At 39.5% G+C, this 18,892-nt stretch overlaps 1 protein-coding gene across 38 annotated transcripts in view, besides 2 other annotated features; it reads right to left on the bottom strand.

Moving 5' to 3' along the window:
- MARK3 (microtubule affinity regulating kinase 3) overlaps positions 1-18,892 on the bottom strand; it is a 118,417-nt gene that overhangs the window by 42,593 nt on the left and 56,932 nt on the right. For 33 of the 38 annotated variants that reach the window (NM_001128918.3, XM_005267641.6, NM_001128919.3 and 30 more), the window contains 3 exons: positions 12,272-12,320; positions 9,256-9,321; positions 4,027-4,097 (listed from right to left, as the gene is read on the bottom strand). In NM_001128918.3, the coding sequence (NP_001122390.2) occupies positions 4,027-4,097; positions 9,256-9,321; positions 12,272-12,320 (186 nt within the window). Of the gene's footprint in view, positions 1-2,443; positions 2,508-4,026; positions 4,098-9,255; positions 9,322-12,271; positions 12,327-18,892 lie in introns of those variants that run through there. The other 5 variants (XM_017021301.3, XM_047431393.1, XM_047431394.1 and 2 more) reach the window with 5 other exon arrangements.
- Positions 5,185-5,685: an enhancer, noted in NCBI's record as "H3K4me1 hESC enhancer chr14:103921891-103922391 (GRCh37/hg19 assembly coordinates)". NCBI's record gives its function as "activates a minimal SCP1, AML or CMV promoter by ChIP-STARR-seq in primed H9 embryonic stem cells {active_cell/tissue: H9 hESC(primed)}" and the evidence as "EXISTENCE:reporter gene assay evidence [ECO:0000049][PMID:30033119]".
- Positions 5,686-6,186: an enhancer, noted in NCBI's record as "H3K4me1 hESC enhancer chr14:103921390-103921890 (GRCh37/hg19 assembly coordinates)". NCBI's record gives its function as "activates a minimal SCP1, AML or CMV promoter by ChIP-STARR-seq in primed H9 embryonic stem cells {active_cell/tissue: H9 hESC(primed)}" and the evidence as "EXISTENCE:reporter gene assay evidence [ECO:0000049][PMID:30033119]".

The raw sequence follows: 18,892 nt of genomic DNA, 5'->3' as shown, positions 1-18,892 counted from the left end.
CTAGTCTTTTCTTTGGTATTCTGCATGTATATTTAGACACATATGATTACATATACACAAAACTGAGGTTATAATAAAATTACTGTTGGTTCCTCCAAATCATCATCAACTCTTAGCTCTAAGCCCCATGGACCCACCCGTGGACATAAAATCTCAGAGGGCTGTATAATATTTTGGTTCAGAATAAGCAGCAAGGACAAGGTGAACTGGGGTTAGGATGAGATGATAACAAAAATCAGCACTTTACTAAGCAGCTTCATTATTTAAAATTAACATTCAGAATATCAGACCCACTTATAATTAACAAAAGGTACAAAAATTCCAATGCCAAAAAACGGGTTTTAGAGCATCTGTTACTTTGGATTTATCACTATTGTTCTATTCAGTCAGCATGAAAACTTGAAAAGTAAAATAGCTTTGTTTTCCCAAAACAAAGTCATAGCTTTGTCACCTAGGACACAGGTAAATTTTATCTAATCTTTTTCCTTTTCTCATTCAGAATTTATATTAGTTTTTCCTCATATTGAGATTTCTCTTACAGGTTATTTTCAAATTCTGCTTTTGAAGCAGATTTGATTTCCTGCCCTTTCTCAAAGAGATCAAAGGATTTCTCTCTCTCTTTAGCTCCAAAACAGCTCAAAGCTAACCTGATGCCACAATAAGCTGAAAAGACTCAACTTGAACTTACTGCTTTTTTTGCATTCTATTACCAGGTAGAAATGGTGATTTCTAACAGATGTTATTTAGGTTAAACTATGATTTAACCTAATTCACTTTCAATCATACATAAAAGAGCGTCAAATCATCAATATTACCAGCCCACCAATAAAGAGGTAAGTAAAAAAGATGGAGCTGTGCCGGGCGCGTGGCTCACGCCTGTAATCCCAGCACTTTGGGAGGCCGAGGCGGGTGGATCACGAGGTCAGGAGATCGAGACCATCCTGACTAACACAGTGAAATCCTGTCTCTACTAAATATACAAAAAATTAGCCGGGCGTAGTGGCAGGCATCTGTATTCCCAGCTACTTGGGAGGCTGAGGCAGAAGAATGGCGTGAACCCAGGGGGCGGAGCTTGCAGTGAGCCGAGATCGCGCCACTGCACTCCAGCCTGGGCGACAAAGCGAGATTTGTCTCAAAAAAAAAAAAAAAAAAAAAAAAAAAAAAAGATGGAGCTGGAAATCTATTCTTTTTCTTGGAAAAGAATGAGCTCAACCAAAAAATTAAAATGTCATAAGCAGTAACTAGGATGGGCATGGTGAAGGAAGCAGAAGGGGAAAACCCATCTGGTGATGAATATGGAAAAGGGATCACACACAGTGTACTTTGTGTGTGGCATACCTTCCTTTTTGTCATAAATAGAAAAACTTGTTTTACTTAGTCAAAGTAATTATGACTTATAAGCTCCTAGAAAGCACAGAAATTGAGGCCACATTACGATGGCTCACATCTGTAATCCCAGCATTTTGGGAGGCTGAGGAGGGCAGATCACTTGAGATCAGGAGTCTGAGACCAGCCTGGCCAACACTGGTGAAACCTTGTCTCTACTAAAATTACAAAAAAAAAAATAAAAAATTAGCTGGGCGTGGTGGTGCACACTTGTAATCCCAGCTACTTGGGAGGCTGAGGCAGGAGAATTGCTTGAACCTGGGAGGCGGAGGTTGCAGTGAGCTGAGATCGGGCCACTGCACTCCAGCCTTGGTGACAGAGGGAGACTCCATCTCAAAAACGAAAAAACAAAGAAACCACAGCATTTGAAACAGAAAAGTGGAAACACCAATATGATGCGTATCCTTCCAAGTCTAATGGAGCTGTTTTAGGCAAATACCATGGAAGAAAGGGTCAATTCTAAAGCACTCTAAATCAATTTGCTAATTGAAAAAACACATACATACAAACCATCTTTCCTAGTCCAACTAACAGGCTCCTCAAATAAAGGCTTCAGAATTTCTGCAGGGAATTTACAATAAAAATTAGAGTAATTTCCTCAAGATTTAGGTTAGTAAGCTCTTGCTGGGTGACACCAGCCCCTTCCTCATAGTCAATAAGCCATCTTCACACATGTTTGCAAGTCAGATTCATCTGAGTAGGAAGGAATGTAAATTGTATGAAGCAAAAAAATGTTCCCTTTTAGGTGGCCAATTTATAAAAATTAAGAGTACAGTTATGGAAAGAGCCACACACTTTTTTTCTAATAAAAATCTGAATTTCCTTTAATAGACCATACAATCAAATTATATTAGAATTGCAAAGAACTATGGAATTCATCAAGAATAATTTCTTTTTTTTTTATAGCTTTAAAAACAGGATCAGAGAAGTTAAATGATAGCCAAAGCTGATTTTTACTTTGGTTTTACTAGATTTGAATTCAAAGTACCATTAGTATTTAAGCAACAGCAAAATATAAGCAACGTTTATAAGAAACTTAATAAGTCCTATCACTTACAAATGTAAACATCAGACTAAGCAAATCAAAGGAGACTTGAACTTTAATAGTCTGTCCAGCTTGACAACCCTGTATATGAATAAAACAAAATATAAAGGTTCTAAGAAAAAATGAGGCTATAATTCCATTTCAATGTAGGCCTTGTGAGAATACAGAATTAATTTAAAAGCAGTGAAGCACTGCTCCTTTCCTTCGTCTAAATCAGGGGTTGGCAAATTATGGCCTCTGGCTACATCCGGCCCATCCCTGTTTTTGTAAATAAAGTTTTGTTGGAACACAGTCACGTTCATTCATTTGGTATTGTCTACAGCTGCTGCTTCTTTTTTTTTTTTTTTTTTTTTGAGATGGAGTCTCTGTCACCCAGGCTGAAGTGCAATGGTACGGTCTTGGCTCACTACAATTTCCGCCTCCCAGGTTCAAGCGATTCTCCTGCCTCAGCCTCCCCAGTAGCTGGGATTACAGGCACCTGCCATCATGCCCGGCTAATTTTTGTGTTTTTGTAGAGACAGGGTTTTCACCATGTTGACCAGGCTGGTCTCGAACTCCTGACCCTCAGGTGATCCGCCCACCTCAGCCTCCCAAAGTGCTGGGATTACAGGCATGAGCCATCGCACCCAGCCTACGACTGCTTCTAAGCTACAACAAGAGAGTTAAATAGTTGCGACAGAGACAGTGTGGCCCACAAAGCCTAAAATGTTCACTATCTGGCCCTTTACAGAAGTTTGCTGATTCCCAGTCTAAATAATAGCACAATATAATGATTGCAAATCTGAGTTTTGGGGTCAGAGGGTTTGGGACTCTGAGTCTATGGCAGGTCTCCTACTTGAAAGGCAATTCTGGGACCTGCCTGGGCAATACAGCGAGACCCCGTTCTCCACAATAAGGGGGAAAAAGAAAAAAAGAAAGGCAATTCTGGGCAAGTTATTTAATCTTCCCATGTCTCAGTTGTCTTATTTTTTAGCAAATGGATATAACAGTCCTTAACTCACAAGGCAGCTGTAAGATTTACCTTAATGTTGGTAAAGTACTTATCTCAGTGTGTGGCATGGTCAATAGATAACAGTAATTATTATTAATAAAGACAGGAGAGTCAAGTAACCTGTTTGCTTAAAACCTGCTTATTAAAACCCGAGTCTCTTTAAAAAGCAGAGTAAAAACAAAGCAAGAAGTAAAGTTACTAATTAACAGTTTCAGTTACACTTGGCCTTGGTTTATGTCAGACAAAGCTAATAATGAATTTTGGGGTTCTGACATTCTGCTTGCTAAAAACTCTGAAATGGCTTTAATTAATGTAATCACAGGTGTTTTTGAAAGGCTCTAGATTTTTAAGGCTCAGTTGTAAAAAGGGAAGGTTAAGTATAAGACTAATGCTCCCATTACAAAGCTAGGAATAGAACCATGGCTGCCTCCAGCACAGTGCCTTAGGTATGAAAAGTTCTTCATCAATTTTTGTTGAATTGAATGGCCAACCCCTGCCATCCAACAGGCCTTATAAGCATTTATGGAGGCAAACACTTGTTTGCTTCAGGGTTTAAGTGAGATAAATTATCAAATTGACATAGTAAAGACACATTAATTCATACCTGTCTAAATTTAGATCTTGCTTCTTTTTCCTTCATCCTGCCATGTGCAACCAAATAGTCAAATACTTCACCTATAGGTGAGAGAAATAAAAGTAAGTAGAAATCCTACTTCTGAGTATTAATTTTCCCATAAATTGATGTTTCACTTTTAGCAATGCTCTAATTTTTAAATATAGATATAAAGTTAGCCAGAAATATGTGGAATTTGAACTAAGCTGGCTTTAACTACAGGCATTTAAATTCACCAACAAAATCTTTAAGCTGAAGAAAAGCCTTAAAATTAAATTCCCTATACTTAAATTATATAACTCTTATTTTAAAGAGCGTTTTCAATAGGCTTTAATAAAAACTAAGCAATTAAAACAGAAAATTAAAATGGATGAAGTTATTTGTGTTAGAAGAGGACATCCTCACTGCAGGATTATGACAACAAAGCATTTCCTGAGTATATTCATTCATTCAACAAATATTTCCTGAATGTCTACTAACTGCAAGGCACTGTTCTAGGTAGGTTCTGGGGAGATGCAGCAGTGAACACAAGATCCTTTTCCTCATAGAGTTTACATTCTAGTTGGGGGAGGGGGCAATAAATGAATAAACATATAGTGTATCAGAGGACAGTAAGTGCTGTGGAGAAAAAGTAGGAGAGACAGACAAGTGAGCCTGTGTGTGCACACCCTTGTGTTTTGCTGACTACTTGAGGGTGTGGACAATGTAGTTATCTGGGGTAAGATTCCACAGTAATTAAGAGAAAGAGCAAGAAGGCCACAGGGCTGGAGAAGTGTGAATGAGGGGAAGAGGGTAGTTCATGAGGCTAGGAAGAGTCCTGTAGGCCGTGGTGAGGACTCTGGCTCTACTACAAGTGAGATGAGAAGCAGAGATGAAAAAAGACTGACCTCTTAAAAGGATCACTGGCTGCTAGCGGGGAAGAGGCTTCCAATGACGGGAAGGGACAGGAAGACCAAGAGGGAGATCAGTACAATAATCAAACCAATCATGAAAGTGACGGGGACTAGAGTGGGAAGCACAGTGGTGGTGAGAAGTAGGAGCTCAGGATACAATGGAGGTGAAAACAACAGAACCAGCTGATGCACGCCTAGGTGGCAGTTTACACAACATTAATTATTTAGGGAAGAAAGGTGACACTTCAAGGAATATATTATTAGCACTGTCAACTGCTTATCAATGTAGAATAAAGAATCACCACCTCTGAAATCAATAGAAAAGAATACTAATTTAGAAAATTAGATATAAGTGTTTTCAGGAAACATCTTTACTTCATACAAATAAGGAATACCTCCATCAGCTTAGTGAAAATATTAAACTAAAATATTTTGATACTTGAAAGTCATCATGAATTACACAATTATCTGACTTTGAAACTCTTATTAACCCTAACTCTGAAAGAATAAATTTTACATAATGAATGGGCACAAATATTTTCATGTTATTACTTGATTGCATAATGCTTTTTTTTTTTTTTTTTTGAGACAGAGTTGTGCTGTTGCCCAGGCTGTAGTGCAGTGGCCCGATCTTGGCTCACTGCAACCTCTGCCTCCAACGTTCAAGCAATTCTCGTGCCTCAGCCTCCTGAGTAGCTGGGATTACAGGCGTGCGTCACCACACCCGGCTAATTTTTGTATTTTTAGTAGAGATGGGGGTTTCACCACGTTGGCCAGGCTGGTCTCGAACTCCTGGCCTCAAGTGATCTGCCCGTCTTGGCCTCCCAAAGTGCTGGGATTACACGCGTGAGCCACCGTGCCCAGCCTGCATAATGATCTTTTAAAAGGCATTACATACTGTCAAGTTTACACGACACAATTCACTTAACTATGATGAATTATGAAGTTAAATGTCAGCTCGGTAAAGTGTCAGCATTTTCTATGCGAATGACCTATTTGCAGAAAAGCACACAATGTCAAAACAAGTGGTTAATAAGCAAAAACAACTAAACATGAGTGAATATCATATAGGAGAGTTTTCACTTAAAAAAATTAAACGATTAAGCCTACCAGCTGTTGTAGAGTAACACAGATAAAATCCAAGTCTGTCAATATAATTGACAGATTTTTTTTTCTAAATTTGAATTCAATACAAACCTCTTAAGAGATTTGTGGAACCATATGTCACACTCATAATTACTAAATTATAATTCAGGAGTTCAACTTTTAAACCAGGAATTCAATCCAGATCTTTTTTCCTTATTAAAAATGTATTAACATTCAGGTTAAGCAGCTGAACTGAAAAATACTAAGGCTATTTATTAGAGATAAAAGAAACAAGAAGCAAAGAGTGGCTCTCCTGCCTGGGCAGGAACAGGTGGCTGGATGGAAGGACACTGACAGGCCAGTTCAGAAAGCCCTTAGTTCTAGTTCAGGTCCTGAAACTAACTAGCTATGGACCCCTTGGCATAGAACAAACTTTCTGAGCTTCAGTTTCATCTGTAAAAATTAGACCGCTGCCCTAAAATTTCTAAGATTATTTTCAATTCTAAAATTCTATGAGTTTACCAAATCAAAAGGCAGCAGGCTGGCGGGTGGGGGAGATGCAATGGTGGAATGGGTGGCCAATTTAATAAAACTTTTCACAATGGCAAACACATCAACAATAAAACATATGTCCCGGAAATTGTTTTAATAAACTCAACAAAACACTGTTAAAGAGGCCAGGTGCTGTGGCTCACACCTATAATCCCAGCAATTTGGGAGGCCAAGGCAGGTGGATCACTTGAGGTCAGGAGTTCAAGACCAGCCTGGCCAATGTGGCAAAACCTTGTCTCTATAAAAATTAGAAAAATTAGCCAGGTGTGGTGTGCGCCTGCAGTCCCAGCTACTCAGGAAGCTGAGGCAGGAGAATTGCTTGAACCCAGGAAGCAGAGGTTGCAGTGAGCTGAGATGGCGCCACTGCACTTGAGCCTGGGCAACAGAGTGAGACCCTGTCTCCAAAAAGAAAAAAAAAAAAACCCAAGGTAATACAGAACCACCACCTTCGATTAAATGATTAAAGGCTCTTACAATGTTGCCAAGTGCACTGAGCCCTCAGAGGGGGTTCCTATGCTCACCGTGAAGCTCAGCTCAGCACATGTTACTTGCCAGGTCACATGGCCAATGAGGGCCACTGGCTGGATTCACTCCATGTCTGTCTCTTCCAGAGCCCATCCTCTTTCTACTAAACCTGGATGACTCTTAGATGTTTTTGTCTTGCCCCTATATGAGTAATCTCTGTGACCTGGGTAGCTAAAACAGATGGGAACAGAAAGCCGTGACTGACCAACAAACTAGAAAGGCTATCTGCTGTCAGAGCACTGGCGGTCCAGGCCCAGAGCGCCCACAGTGAGACTTCCCAGCCTCCATTTCCTCATGGGTAAAAAGCCCATCGCTCACTGCCTGGCCACAGCATGGAGTCGCTGTGAAGGTCAAAGGAGATCTGGTAAGAGAAAGCACCTTGTACACTGTAGAGGCTGTACAACGTGAGGGCTATGAACATTACTCTGTGTTGTTTGCCCACAGAAAGTATTAGAACTCCATAAAGCTTTTTGGTCCTGAAATTAACCTTCCCCTCTTTCTACTACCCCTGAAGTTTTGAAAATCCCAATGAAATTCCCAAACTAGACATATATAAAGTATAAAATACACAACTAATAATGAATTAGGAGTATAAAAAAGTGGTGTCAAAGGTATGCTTACTACAACTCATTGTTTTCCACAACAGGTTTACAATCTTTTTATTTTCAATGGTAAACTCACTCAAATGAGACTATAATCCAACTTTCTATCTTCAGGTTTTGTAACATGGATCAAAGTGCTAATGATAAAATTACGATAGAGTTTAACAGAATGTGTACCCAGTAGTTTATAATTCCTAAATGCAGTCTAATTCTTATCTGTTGAGTATCTGCTGTGTGCCAGGCAGTGTGCTAGAGGCAGGGGACACAAAAAGATGAACAAGAAAGCTTCTGCCCTTCACAGACAATGAAACTCACGTGTGGTCGCAAACTACAAACCCAGCCCAATCTCAACCATAAAATACAAATCATTATAAAAGACAGCAGCTATAAACACGCATTTCAGAAAATGTCTACATTTTTACAAAACCATAGGCAAATAGTTACTAGTCATTAATCTTTATTTTAAGGAAACTCTAGTGATGTGTACTGTAACCATCATTTCTGGCCTTGGGGAAGACAGACACCAGCGACATTAAAATCTGGTAAAGAAAAGCATCTAAACCAAAGCACACATTTGTTTCAAACAGACTAAGCATTCATATGTTTAAATAGCCACATACTCAAGATAAACAAAATGTGAGGTGTGTGTCCCACACACACAATGGAGTATTATTCGGCCTTAAAAAGGAATGAAATTCTGACACATGCTACAGCATGGATGAACCTTGAGGACACTATGCTGCATCAATCAGCCAGACACAAAAAGACAAATCCTGGCCGGGCGCGGTGGCTCACGCCTGTAATCCCAGCACTTTGGGAGGCCGAGGCGGGCGGATCACGAGGTCAGGAGATCGAGACCATCCTGGCTAACACGGTGAAACCCCGTCTCTACTAAAAATACAAAAAATTAGCCGGGCGTAGTAGCGGGCGCCTGTAGTCCCAGCTACTCGGGAGGCTGAGGCAGGAGAATGGCGTGAACCCGGGAGGCGGAGCTTGCAGTGAGCCGAGATCGCGCCACTGCACTCCAGCCTGGGCGACAGAGCGAGACTCCGTCTCAAAAAAAAAAAAAAAAAAGACAAATCCTGTAAAATTCCACTTGTATGAGGTTCCAAGAGTAGTCAAATTCATAGAGACAGAAAGGAGAATGGTTGCCAAGGACTGGGAGAAGGAGAAATGGAGAGTTAGTGTTTAATGGGTATAGAGTTTCGTGTTAGAAAATGAAAACATTCTGGACATGGGTGGTGGTGAGGGCAACGTGAACATGCTAATGTCACTGAACTGTGCGCCTAAAAATGATTTTAACGATAATTTTCAGTGATGCATGTTTTACCACAAAAAATATCCAGGTATTTAGATATTACCAATTAACAATGCTAATAGTGAAACACTTCATGGCAACCCCTAGAAGTGCTAAGAGTCAGCTTTTCCGACTCTCATCCTAGCGTATTATGGCTCTGGACGTTAAATGAGACCTTAATGATGACCCATATGGGCAGTATGGTTGTGTATTTTTTTAAAAGGGAGAAAGAAAAAAAACCCAATATATATAAAAATGTTCTTACCTCCACTTGCATATTCCATGATTAGGTAGAGTGTTTTTTCAGTTTCAATGACTTCGAATAACTTCACTGCGGGAGAGGAGAGGACACGGAAGAAAAAGAGACAAATGTCTGTATGCACAAACCATGCACATATAAACTCTAACTATGAAAAGCAACCTTTTCCCTGTTAAAGATTTTAATAGCTGGCCCTCTAAAAAATGCTTTTAGGGAATTTTATCAAATACCACAACAACAGAAAAGAGTCTATGAAAGCATGGAATTCCATAAAAATAATTTCTGAATGTTCAGTGTGACTTCCATATGTGCTCAGCAGTCCAGCAAGGTGTACCTGAGCTCACTTCCTCTGTCACCCTCACTGTCCTTCAGCATGTCTGTGTTGGCTAGCTGCCCTCCCAGCACCCCAGGAAAAGTGGTCAGCCTGCAGCAACTGCTCAGTTCTACTCTGCTCCAACAAATGCAAATCTAGCTGCTTATGATTATGGCTTTAAGGATGTAATTCTATTTGAGACCTTTATTGCTTGGGAAACTTATGACAACTTTCAAAGAACAAGGTTCCTTTGTTACTTTTCTGATGCCAAAGATGGAAAGAAGTAGAGGGATTATACTGCAATTAATTGAGGGGGGGAATCTTTTTTATAAGAATCATTTTCAGTAGGTCAGGGTGATTTTCCTACAGCAGTCTTTTGTTACAGATGGAAATATTTCTATCACTGCTAATTCATAAAACCTTATTAGAAATATATACATTTTTGGCTGAGTATGGTGGCTCACACCTGTAATCCCAGCACTTTGGGAGGCTGAGGCGGGTGGATCGTTTCTGCTGAGGAGTTGGACACCACCCTCGGCAACATGGCAAAATTCCCTCTCTACAAAAAAATGCCAAAAATTAGCTGGGTATGGCGGCATGCACCTGTAGTCCCAGCTACTCGGGAGGCTGAGGTGGGAGAATGGCCTGAGCCAGTGTGGTGGAGGTTGCAGTGACCTGAGATCATGCCACTGCACTCCAGCCTGGACAACAGAGCTAGACCCTGTCTCAAAAAAAAAAAAAAAAAAAAAAAAAAAGAATACACACACACACACACACACACACACACACACACACACACACTTTAAAAATGAAACTGGAGTAAATCCCTGAAGCTATCAAATCACCATTGTGCATATCTACTTTATTATGTTAATATTTACTTTAAGTTTACCCAAAACTGGGGGGTATGCTAGTGTTTTATATTTCAAGCAATTTTCTGAGGCTTTAATAGAGTATCAGGCCAAACAAAATGCCTAACATAGCAGTCAGTAAATGTTTGATGAACTGATGAATAAAGCTATCATACCATTCCCTAGACTCTGATACGTTCAGACTGTGAAGAAAAGCCACTTCAGAAAGTTAAGGCACATGTGTTGGTAAGCTGCATGAAAATAAAACTCTTCTAATCTTCCAACGAAACTTTGGGTCTTCTGGGAAAACTATGTTAATGCAATAGGAATTTTTTAAAAGTTCAATTTATTATCAAAGATATGTCAAGTTTTAAGTACAAAACTCTAATCAGGTCACAATTTAAGTAATTAAAAGACAAAATAAACATGTTTACGTTAGCTTGTTCTAGGCAACAGTGATAAAGTTTTTTTGTGGGGGGCGGGAGGACGGGTGTGAAAAGTTGGAATTTGAAATCCAGAGTTGGCTAGCTAGCCCCAAAGGATTGAAATGAAAATCAAGGAAACAAGATTTTCTTCCCACTATTATATTCCTTGTGATTTTTTTTTAATCCAACTATGAAGTTGTTCCGTGGTTTTTTCTTCAACCATACTTATTGATTCTAAATTTTTTTTTCACATTTTAATTAATATCCCTGATATCAGGATGAAGGCTTGCTAGCATTTCTCTTAGTAGTATATGAAACAAGGAAACAAGAACACCTTTAAAGTAATGGTGGTTTAGACTGATGAAATAGGGCATACGCCTTTTGTTAAAAAAGCAGCTCTCTGTAAAAGCTTCTTTCTTCCTGTGGTGGTTCTGTGTTACTCTTCTATTCTTGTGCCTGATGCATTCTTGATAGGCTATCCTTGATACTAAACATCAATCCTTTCATTTCCTAAAACTGATGTTGACAGTTAAGCTGATTATGGGCTGTCTTAAGAGTGATTTCATTCTTGAAATATTATTTTTAGATTGTATGATCTATCACTATACAAAAAAGCAGTTATGTAATTTTTTAAAAGCCCTATTACAATGCATATGGGATCAAAAGTTTTTCTTGGGTCAGTATTAAGTCATTTGCTTATTCTCTTCTTGTTTCTACAGTTACTCTAAGGGTAGGACCATGTCGCTCCTTCCTCATCTTTAAACACACCTACTAGCACCCAGCACAGAGTTGTGCACACAGAGGACACAGAAAACAAATCTTTGATTTATAAAATAATTCCTATCACAATTCCATTAGATAGCAAGTATTCCATCTTTCAAATAAGTATTTTCTTAGGGCACACAGCAAAAAGTATTGGACCTCTGAAATATTCTTTTTACAAATTTTTAAGTTTATTATTATTATTACTTTTTTTTTTTTTTTTTTTGGAGAGACGGGGTCTCGCTCTGTTGCTTAGGCTGGTCTTGAGCTCCTGACCTCCAGCAATCCTCCTGCCTTGGTTTCCCAAAGTGCTGGAATTACAGGCATGAGCCACTGTGCCCAGCCCCTTTGAAAATATTAATTCTGACTTCCTATAATTCCCTTCTATCTACTCATGCAATACAATTATATTTTCTAATATACTTAAAAATTAGAAAATTATAATCAGAGTACAGATGTTTCTACCAGATTAAAGCTTTAAATTCAACGTTTAATACCTAAGCTTTTAACCTGTCTTCAGCAATTTCAAAAAGCTAATACAAATGATCAACAACTTGTATATATATTTTACTAGAAGTGTACTCTACCATTTCTAGAATACGTGTTTAGCTTTATGACATAATTTCAAGTACGTATTTAGACCCCAAAATATTTAAAAAAGCAGAAAGTACCTATATTGGGATGATTTAAAATCTTCATTATTCTTACTTCTCTGAAGAGCTAAAAAAAAAAACAAACAAAACACATAATCCCCCCAACACAAGTTATTAAACATTATATTCCACTGTTGTAATATAAATTTAAATTTTTCTCTTAGATAACAGATTCATTGCTAATGTTTATTAATCCATATCTAAGACTAATATGAAAGTCCAGAATATCTCTGAAGTAGTTTTAATAAACTATTACCAAATAGTATTCCCAAATGCTTCCATTTATTAAAAACAGCAGAGGTCTCAAAGGGGGATGGTAACATACTCTGAATTTTACAATGCTATCTTGAAAACATAAGATCAGACTTACGCAGGAATAATTTCTGTGATTAAACTTAGTCTGATTCAGTATCTACCCAGGGCTCCCAACTCTGCGAATCAAAACCTGTATGGTTCCAGTGAAATACATCATAAGCATATTAAACTGATAATTCCAAATAATTCTATTAGAAGACTATGAACAAAACCACCTTGAGAAATCCTCACTGGAGAATATAGGTAACTTAGCATGGAGGTTGTGGTGACTATTACATTAGTGACCCTCATGAGTCATGCCTTACATGTTCACGCTTTTGTGGAGTGCCCCCTTCATATTGACATTAGACCTGGCCATGTAATCTGCTTTGGCCAGTGGGACCTTAGCAAACTGAAGCAAGCAGAGGCTGGATAAAATGCTTGGGCGTCATGGCTTGCTCTCTTGGAGCACTGTGAAGGAGCTGGTCTGGCCTCTTTGGGGATGAAGGGTAGTTATTTAAAGAGACAGATCCTCTGTTGTAACTGCATCCAGCCCCTGCCAAACCACCAGCTGAATTCAGCCACACAAGTGAACCCAGGTGAGACCTTAAGAAAAACCAGCCGAGCACGGTGGCTCACACCTGTAATCCCAGCACTTTGGGAAACCAAGGTGGGTGGATCACTTGAGCTCAGGAGGTCGAGACCAGCCTGGGCAACATGGTGAAACCCCATCTCTACTAAAAATACAGAAATTAGCTGGGTGCAGTAGCATGTGTCTGTAGTCCCAGCTACTCGGGAGGCTGAGCAAGAGAATCACTTGAGCCTGGGAAGTGGAGGTTGCAGAGAGCTGATGGCGTCACTGCACTCCAGCCTGGGCGACAAAGCGAGACCCTGTCTCAAAAAAAAACAAACAAAAAACCATCCAACCAAGACCAGCAGAGCTTCCTAGCCATTCCACAGAATAAGAAATATTAAATTGCTGTTGTATAAATACATGTTGTGAATTCAGAGCAGGTTCTTATCATTATGGCCTGGGTTAATATAACCCAGAAAAACAACAGGATTTTAGAGACCATCCTATTCAACCCTCTTGCAAACAAGAGGAAACCAGGAAAAGAAAGAAAAAGATCTTCTAAGGTCCTGCTATCCTTCTGTGGGGAATGTGTCCGGAACCCAGTCTCCTAACACCCAGGATACAACCTCCAGGAGGCAAAAGCGGGGAAAAACCTTGGAAGAAGAGAAGCAGCGGCCTATGTGGAAAGGAAGCTGGTGAGAAATCACAGGACTCTCACCATACTTGTCCTTGTCCACTGTGTCTAATCTAAAATTGAATTAGCAGCTAAGAGGAGATGGACATGGACCAGATTTTTTTGTTAATTTATTTTTATTTTTTGAGACAGGGTCTCGCTCTGCTGCCCAGGTTGAAGTGCAGTGGTGTGATCATAGTTCACTGTAGCCTTGACCTCCTGGGCTCAATCAATCCTCCCCCTCAGCCTTCCAAAGTGCTAGGATCACAGGTGTGGGCCACTGTGCCCAGCCCATGGACAGGATTTGACATATAACCTTACGCTCAGAATTTTAAAACATGTAATCAGATAAATAACCTTTCCTATCTAAAATACTGTCTCATTTTTGAAGGGAGGAGCATTTTTATCTCCAACATAAACATCTCCCTTTGCAACTGTGGTAATTCCTACATTTTATGTTCTGAGATGAGAAGATAGTCACCCAAGTAAATTCCTGACAACCATTCAGGCCTGAGTTCTTTTTTAGCTCTCCTCTGTTAAACTAACACAGAAATCTTGTTTTCCAATCCATTATAGTTGAATTGGTAGCTAGAATTCAAATCTCCCAATTACTTCCCAACTGCTAAATTACAACACCTCCTGGAGGTTGCAGTGAGCTGAGATCATGCCACTGCACTCCAGCCTGGGTGACAGAGCAAGACTCCAACTCAAAAAAAAAAAAAAAAAAAAAAAAAGACAACAATCTCCACTTTGGATGCCATATCAATATAGCTCAGGATACACAGCACTGAGAATGAAACCCTGACCATGGCCATGGCATCCCTGCAACCTGCCAACTTCTGCATACCCCTCAAAGGTACGTTCTAGTCACCCCAACTCCTTTTAGTTACTAGAACATACTGTTTGTTTATTTATTTATTTTTGAGACGGAGTCTTACTCTGATGCCCAGGCTGGAATGCAGTGGCACAATATCGGCTCACTGCAACCTCCGCCTCCCAGGTTCAAGGGATTCTTCTGTCTCAGCCTCCAGAGCAGCTAGGATTGTAGGTCCCACCATGCCTGGCTAATTTTTGTATTTTTAGCAGAGACGGGGTTTTGCCACGTTGGCCAGGCTGGTCTCGAACACCTGACCTCAGGTGATTTGTCTGCCTTGGCCTCCAAAGTGCTGGGATTACAGATGTGAGCCACCGCGCCTGGCCACAGAACATACTAAATTCCTTTAAATGTCTTCTCCCTTTTCATCCTTTAAGTCTCAGGCAGATTCTCTGAAAACGTATCTAAGTAGGTCTCCTTGTTTTACATCATAGCCCATCTGTTCACTTCTTTCCTGGGATGTCTTTCAAGCTATGAAGACACATTTTTGTGCACCTGTTTGTTATCCTTGTGTCACCCACAGGGAGCATGCCTGTCTCCTTTCACTACTGTATACCTGAAACCAAGGCTGGCACACAACTGAAATGCATTTGTTTGATAAATGCCTGCATGAAAGCACTAACTACCAACAACTGCGGTCTGAGCCAGCCTCAGCATTCTAATGACCACATAGCTTTTAAATCCTCCGCAGCACAATGCTTGTTACAGAGTTGTCACAGTTCTGATGACAGGGGAGCAGGTCAAATGAAGGCAATCATTTTTAAGTCTCTACTAACAGTACAGCAGAAATGAAACAAAGTGAATTAGAGCCAAAAAGCAGGAAAAAGATGGACTATTACAGGAATTCAAAAGATTTGGCTTTAAGTTGCTAAGTTCTGGAGGAATTTGTTAGGCAGCAGTGGATAACTAATATTCTGCAGACACCATATTAAAATGCGAGAACTCCTGAGTTACAGCAGAGGTCATACCAGGGATGCAATGTGAAAACAAAAAGGACAGGTAAATGGGACCAGATAGAAGACTAGTAAAAATTTAATTCCGTAGGCAAAAAGAGCAGCCAAAGAATCCCAAGAGAGGTAGTGGCAGGATATTAGCCCAAATAACTTTATGTATTCACCTCTCTATTGGAATTATGTATTAGGTAGATACTGGCAGGCAGCAAATGTGTAAATAAGCTTTATGCTAAGTTAAACAAGCAGGACAGGGAGGAAGCAGGAAGCTAACAGTTATCTAGTGCCTGCTGTGTCTGACGCATAGAGCCAGATGCTTCACATTCACAGTCTTATCTAAGCTTAATTTTCACAACTCTATCAGCTGAGTATGATCATCTCCAGTATACAGAGACAGACGACTGAGACAGGTTAGGAAACTCATCCAAAGACTCAGCTAATATATGCTGGAGCCAGGATTCTCATTGTGGGTTGCCTGACTCCAAAGTCTACGTTCATCTCAGGATTCCACATTGCTACCTTAGAAATTTAACTAAAAAAAAAAATCAACAAATTATAAGCTGCTGATATAGAAAAGTCCAGAGCAACAGGTGGGTACTGGCACAGAGCTTTTTACGAAGTTGACAATTTGCATACAAGTGAGATAAAAATGCCAGAGACTTCATAATCTCAGAATCTGATGACCAAAGATAGTTAAATTTGGATAGGAATAATGTACTGAAAGGCAAATGTGAACTTTAAGGAAAGTCCCTATAAGGACTATACCAGAAAAATTTTAAAGTTTTGTAATTGTAAAAGGCCATTTAAATAAGAGAAACTCACCTTATTTCTACTTTTTTTTTTTGAAATGGAGTCTCGCTCTGTCGCCCAGGCTGGAGTATAGTGGCGCCATCTTGGCTCACTGAAAGCTCCGCCTCCCAGGTTCACACCATTCTCCTGCCTCAGCCTCCTTAGTAGCTGGGACTACAGGTGCCCGCCATCATGTCCAGCTAATTTTTGTATTTTTAGTAGAGACGGGGTTTCACCATGTTAGCCAGGATGGTCTCGATCTCCTGACCTCGTGATCCGCCCGCCTCGGCCTCCCAAAGTGCTGGGATTACAGGCGTGAGCCACCGCGCCCAGCCTATTTCTACTATCTTAATACAACTTATTTCTCCACATTCCCTTTTCAATCTTAAATAGATGTTAGTTGGAAAAAAGAAATCAAATTACATGGAAACGTATAAATTGAAAGAATTCTCTCCTTACTGATCAATCTATATCCTCCACACATTTTCACATCTATACATCCTCTATGGAACTGGCACACAAGAGGAGAATAAATACCTTTGAAGGCAAAGATTTGGAATCCTGGCAATGGGGATATCAAGGACACTAAATCTACGGTATCAGAGAAGTAAAGAAACATGTCCCAATAGCCAAGACCTGGGGGTTGTCAAGTATTACCACTGGAAAAATAAAATTTTACCTTTTGACAAGTAGAAAAAAAAGAGAGAGAGAATTTTAGTCTCTAGTAAAAAAAAAAAAAAAAAAAGACAATTTTACCAACCGATACGAAAGTAAAATGAGTATGTAAAAGAGAACACGGGGGTTACAGACATAAAACTGATCTAAACCATCACAATGAAGGTGTTCAGGCTCCCTTCTCCAGATACACAGATAAGGGACAGAAGACCAGGCCACCTAAGTCACTCCCTCATCACTCTACAGAAACTGTCCCTTTGCCTCAACTACCACAGCACCTAAATGGAAGAGTGCATCAAAGGCCCTCTCAGACAAACCAAGACAGAGAGGCTGGCAAAGTTCATGAGAAGGAATTTTCAAGAAAATGCATTTGTGTAAAAAAGGAAAAAAAAATTTGCTTCTTAATATACAGAGTATCTCTGGAAAGACTCAAAGGAACTGATGTCACTGGTTGCCACAGGCTGGTCTGGTCTCCCAAGTGCTAGGTAGGTAACCTATTTTAAAGACGACCCCTTCCTCAAACGCTCTAAGTCTCAAAGACGACTTCCACTGTGACCGCTGGGTATCTCCTCCCTCTCTTGGTGCTCTTCCTGAGAATGCCTCAGTACTCAATTCCTGGACTCTTTTCCCCTCCTTTTTAATTCCGTTACCATCATTTAGTGAATCTTTGGGGAAACAAAGATAAATGTACCAGTATTTAGTCCTATATGCTAGTATTTTTAATTCCCAATTTTAGAATGGATATTATAAGTGAAACTGAACTGTAGTTTTCGTTCCTGTTTCCAATATATTTCAATAGCATTGTTTCTGAATTTGAGAAAAGAATTTGGAAGTTCCTCTTCTTAAGTTCTGGAACAGCTGAACAGAGGCAGAGTATGTACTCACAGTAGATCTCAAAGAATTCAATCATGAATTCCAGGTTTGGCAATATGTTAACTACTTTCTCAACTTCTGTTGTTACTGATGTGTATCGATTCTTTTCTAGAGTTAATTTTGGTAAGTCATGTTTTCCTAGAAAATTATCAATTTCTTTGGATATTCTAACATTTTTCAGAGTTGCAGAAAAGGTTCCTTTATAATAATTTAAATTCTTCAGTATCTGGTATTTCCCCCTCATTTTTCTGTGTTTTCTCTCCCTTCCCCCTGGCAGCACTTAGTAGCTTATCTATTTCATTGCCTCTCTTCTCACTTCCTTGTCGGTGGGAGGGGGGGGGACACCCACCAAAGTTTTGGATTTACCATTTCTACTGTTTTCAAATTCATTATTTTCTGCCTTTAGCTTTACTGACTCCTTACATTATTATTTATTCCTGAGATTTATTTTGTTCCCTTTTCTAAACTATTAGTTTAATGTTTAATGCATTCCTTGTCATTCTTGTTTAATAATGTGTTTAAGGCTACAAATTTCCCGGAGCACCAAAAAGCAGTATTACATAGGTTCTGACACACAGCTTATTATCATTAATTCCTAGATATACTGTAATTTTTGTTTGCAATTTTTCTTTGATCCAAGAATTCTGTGTGTTTTAGGTTCCACATGTTTGTATATTTTGTTTGGTTCTATTTTTATTGCTCTACATTAGAACTATAGCCTAGAAAGATGTTAGTCTGGCTTATTCAAATGTTATGTATTGCCCAACTCTGAGAAAATAATATACCTCATAGTCATCACACATTGGAATAGTTATGACGATAATATCCTAGCACACAGCTGTTATGTATCCTGAAAAGGGGATTAAAACAGCTATACTATGGGCTAATGGAAGTGCTGTTATTTTTTTTTTTTTGAGACGGAGTCTCACTCTGTCAC

Source organism: Homo sapiens, chromosome 14 (assembly GCF_000001405.40).
Source record: "Homo sapiens chromosome 14, GRCh38.p14 Primary Assembly".
Lineage (NCBI taxonomy): Eukaryota > Metazoa > Chordata > Mammalia > Primates > Hominidae > Homo > Homo sapiens.
This window is presented reverse-complemented; position numbering and strand designations above follow the sequence as displayed.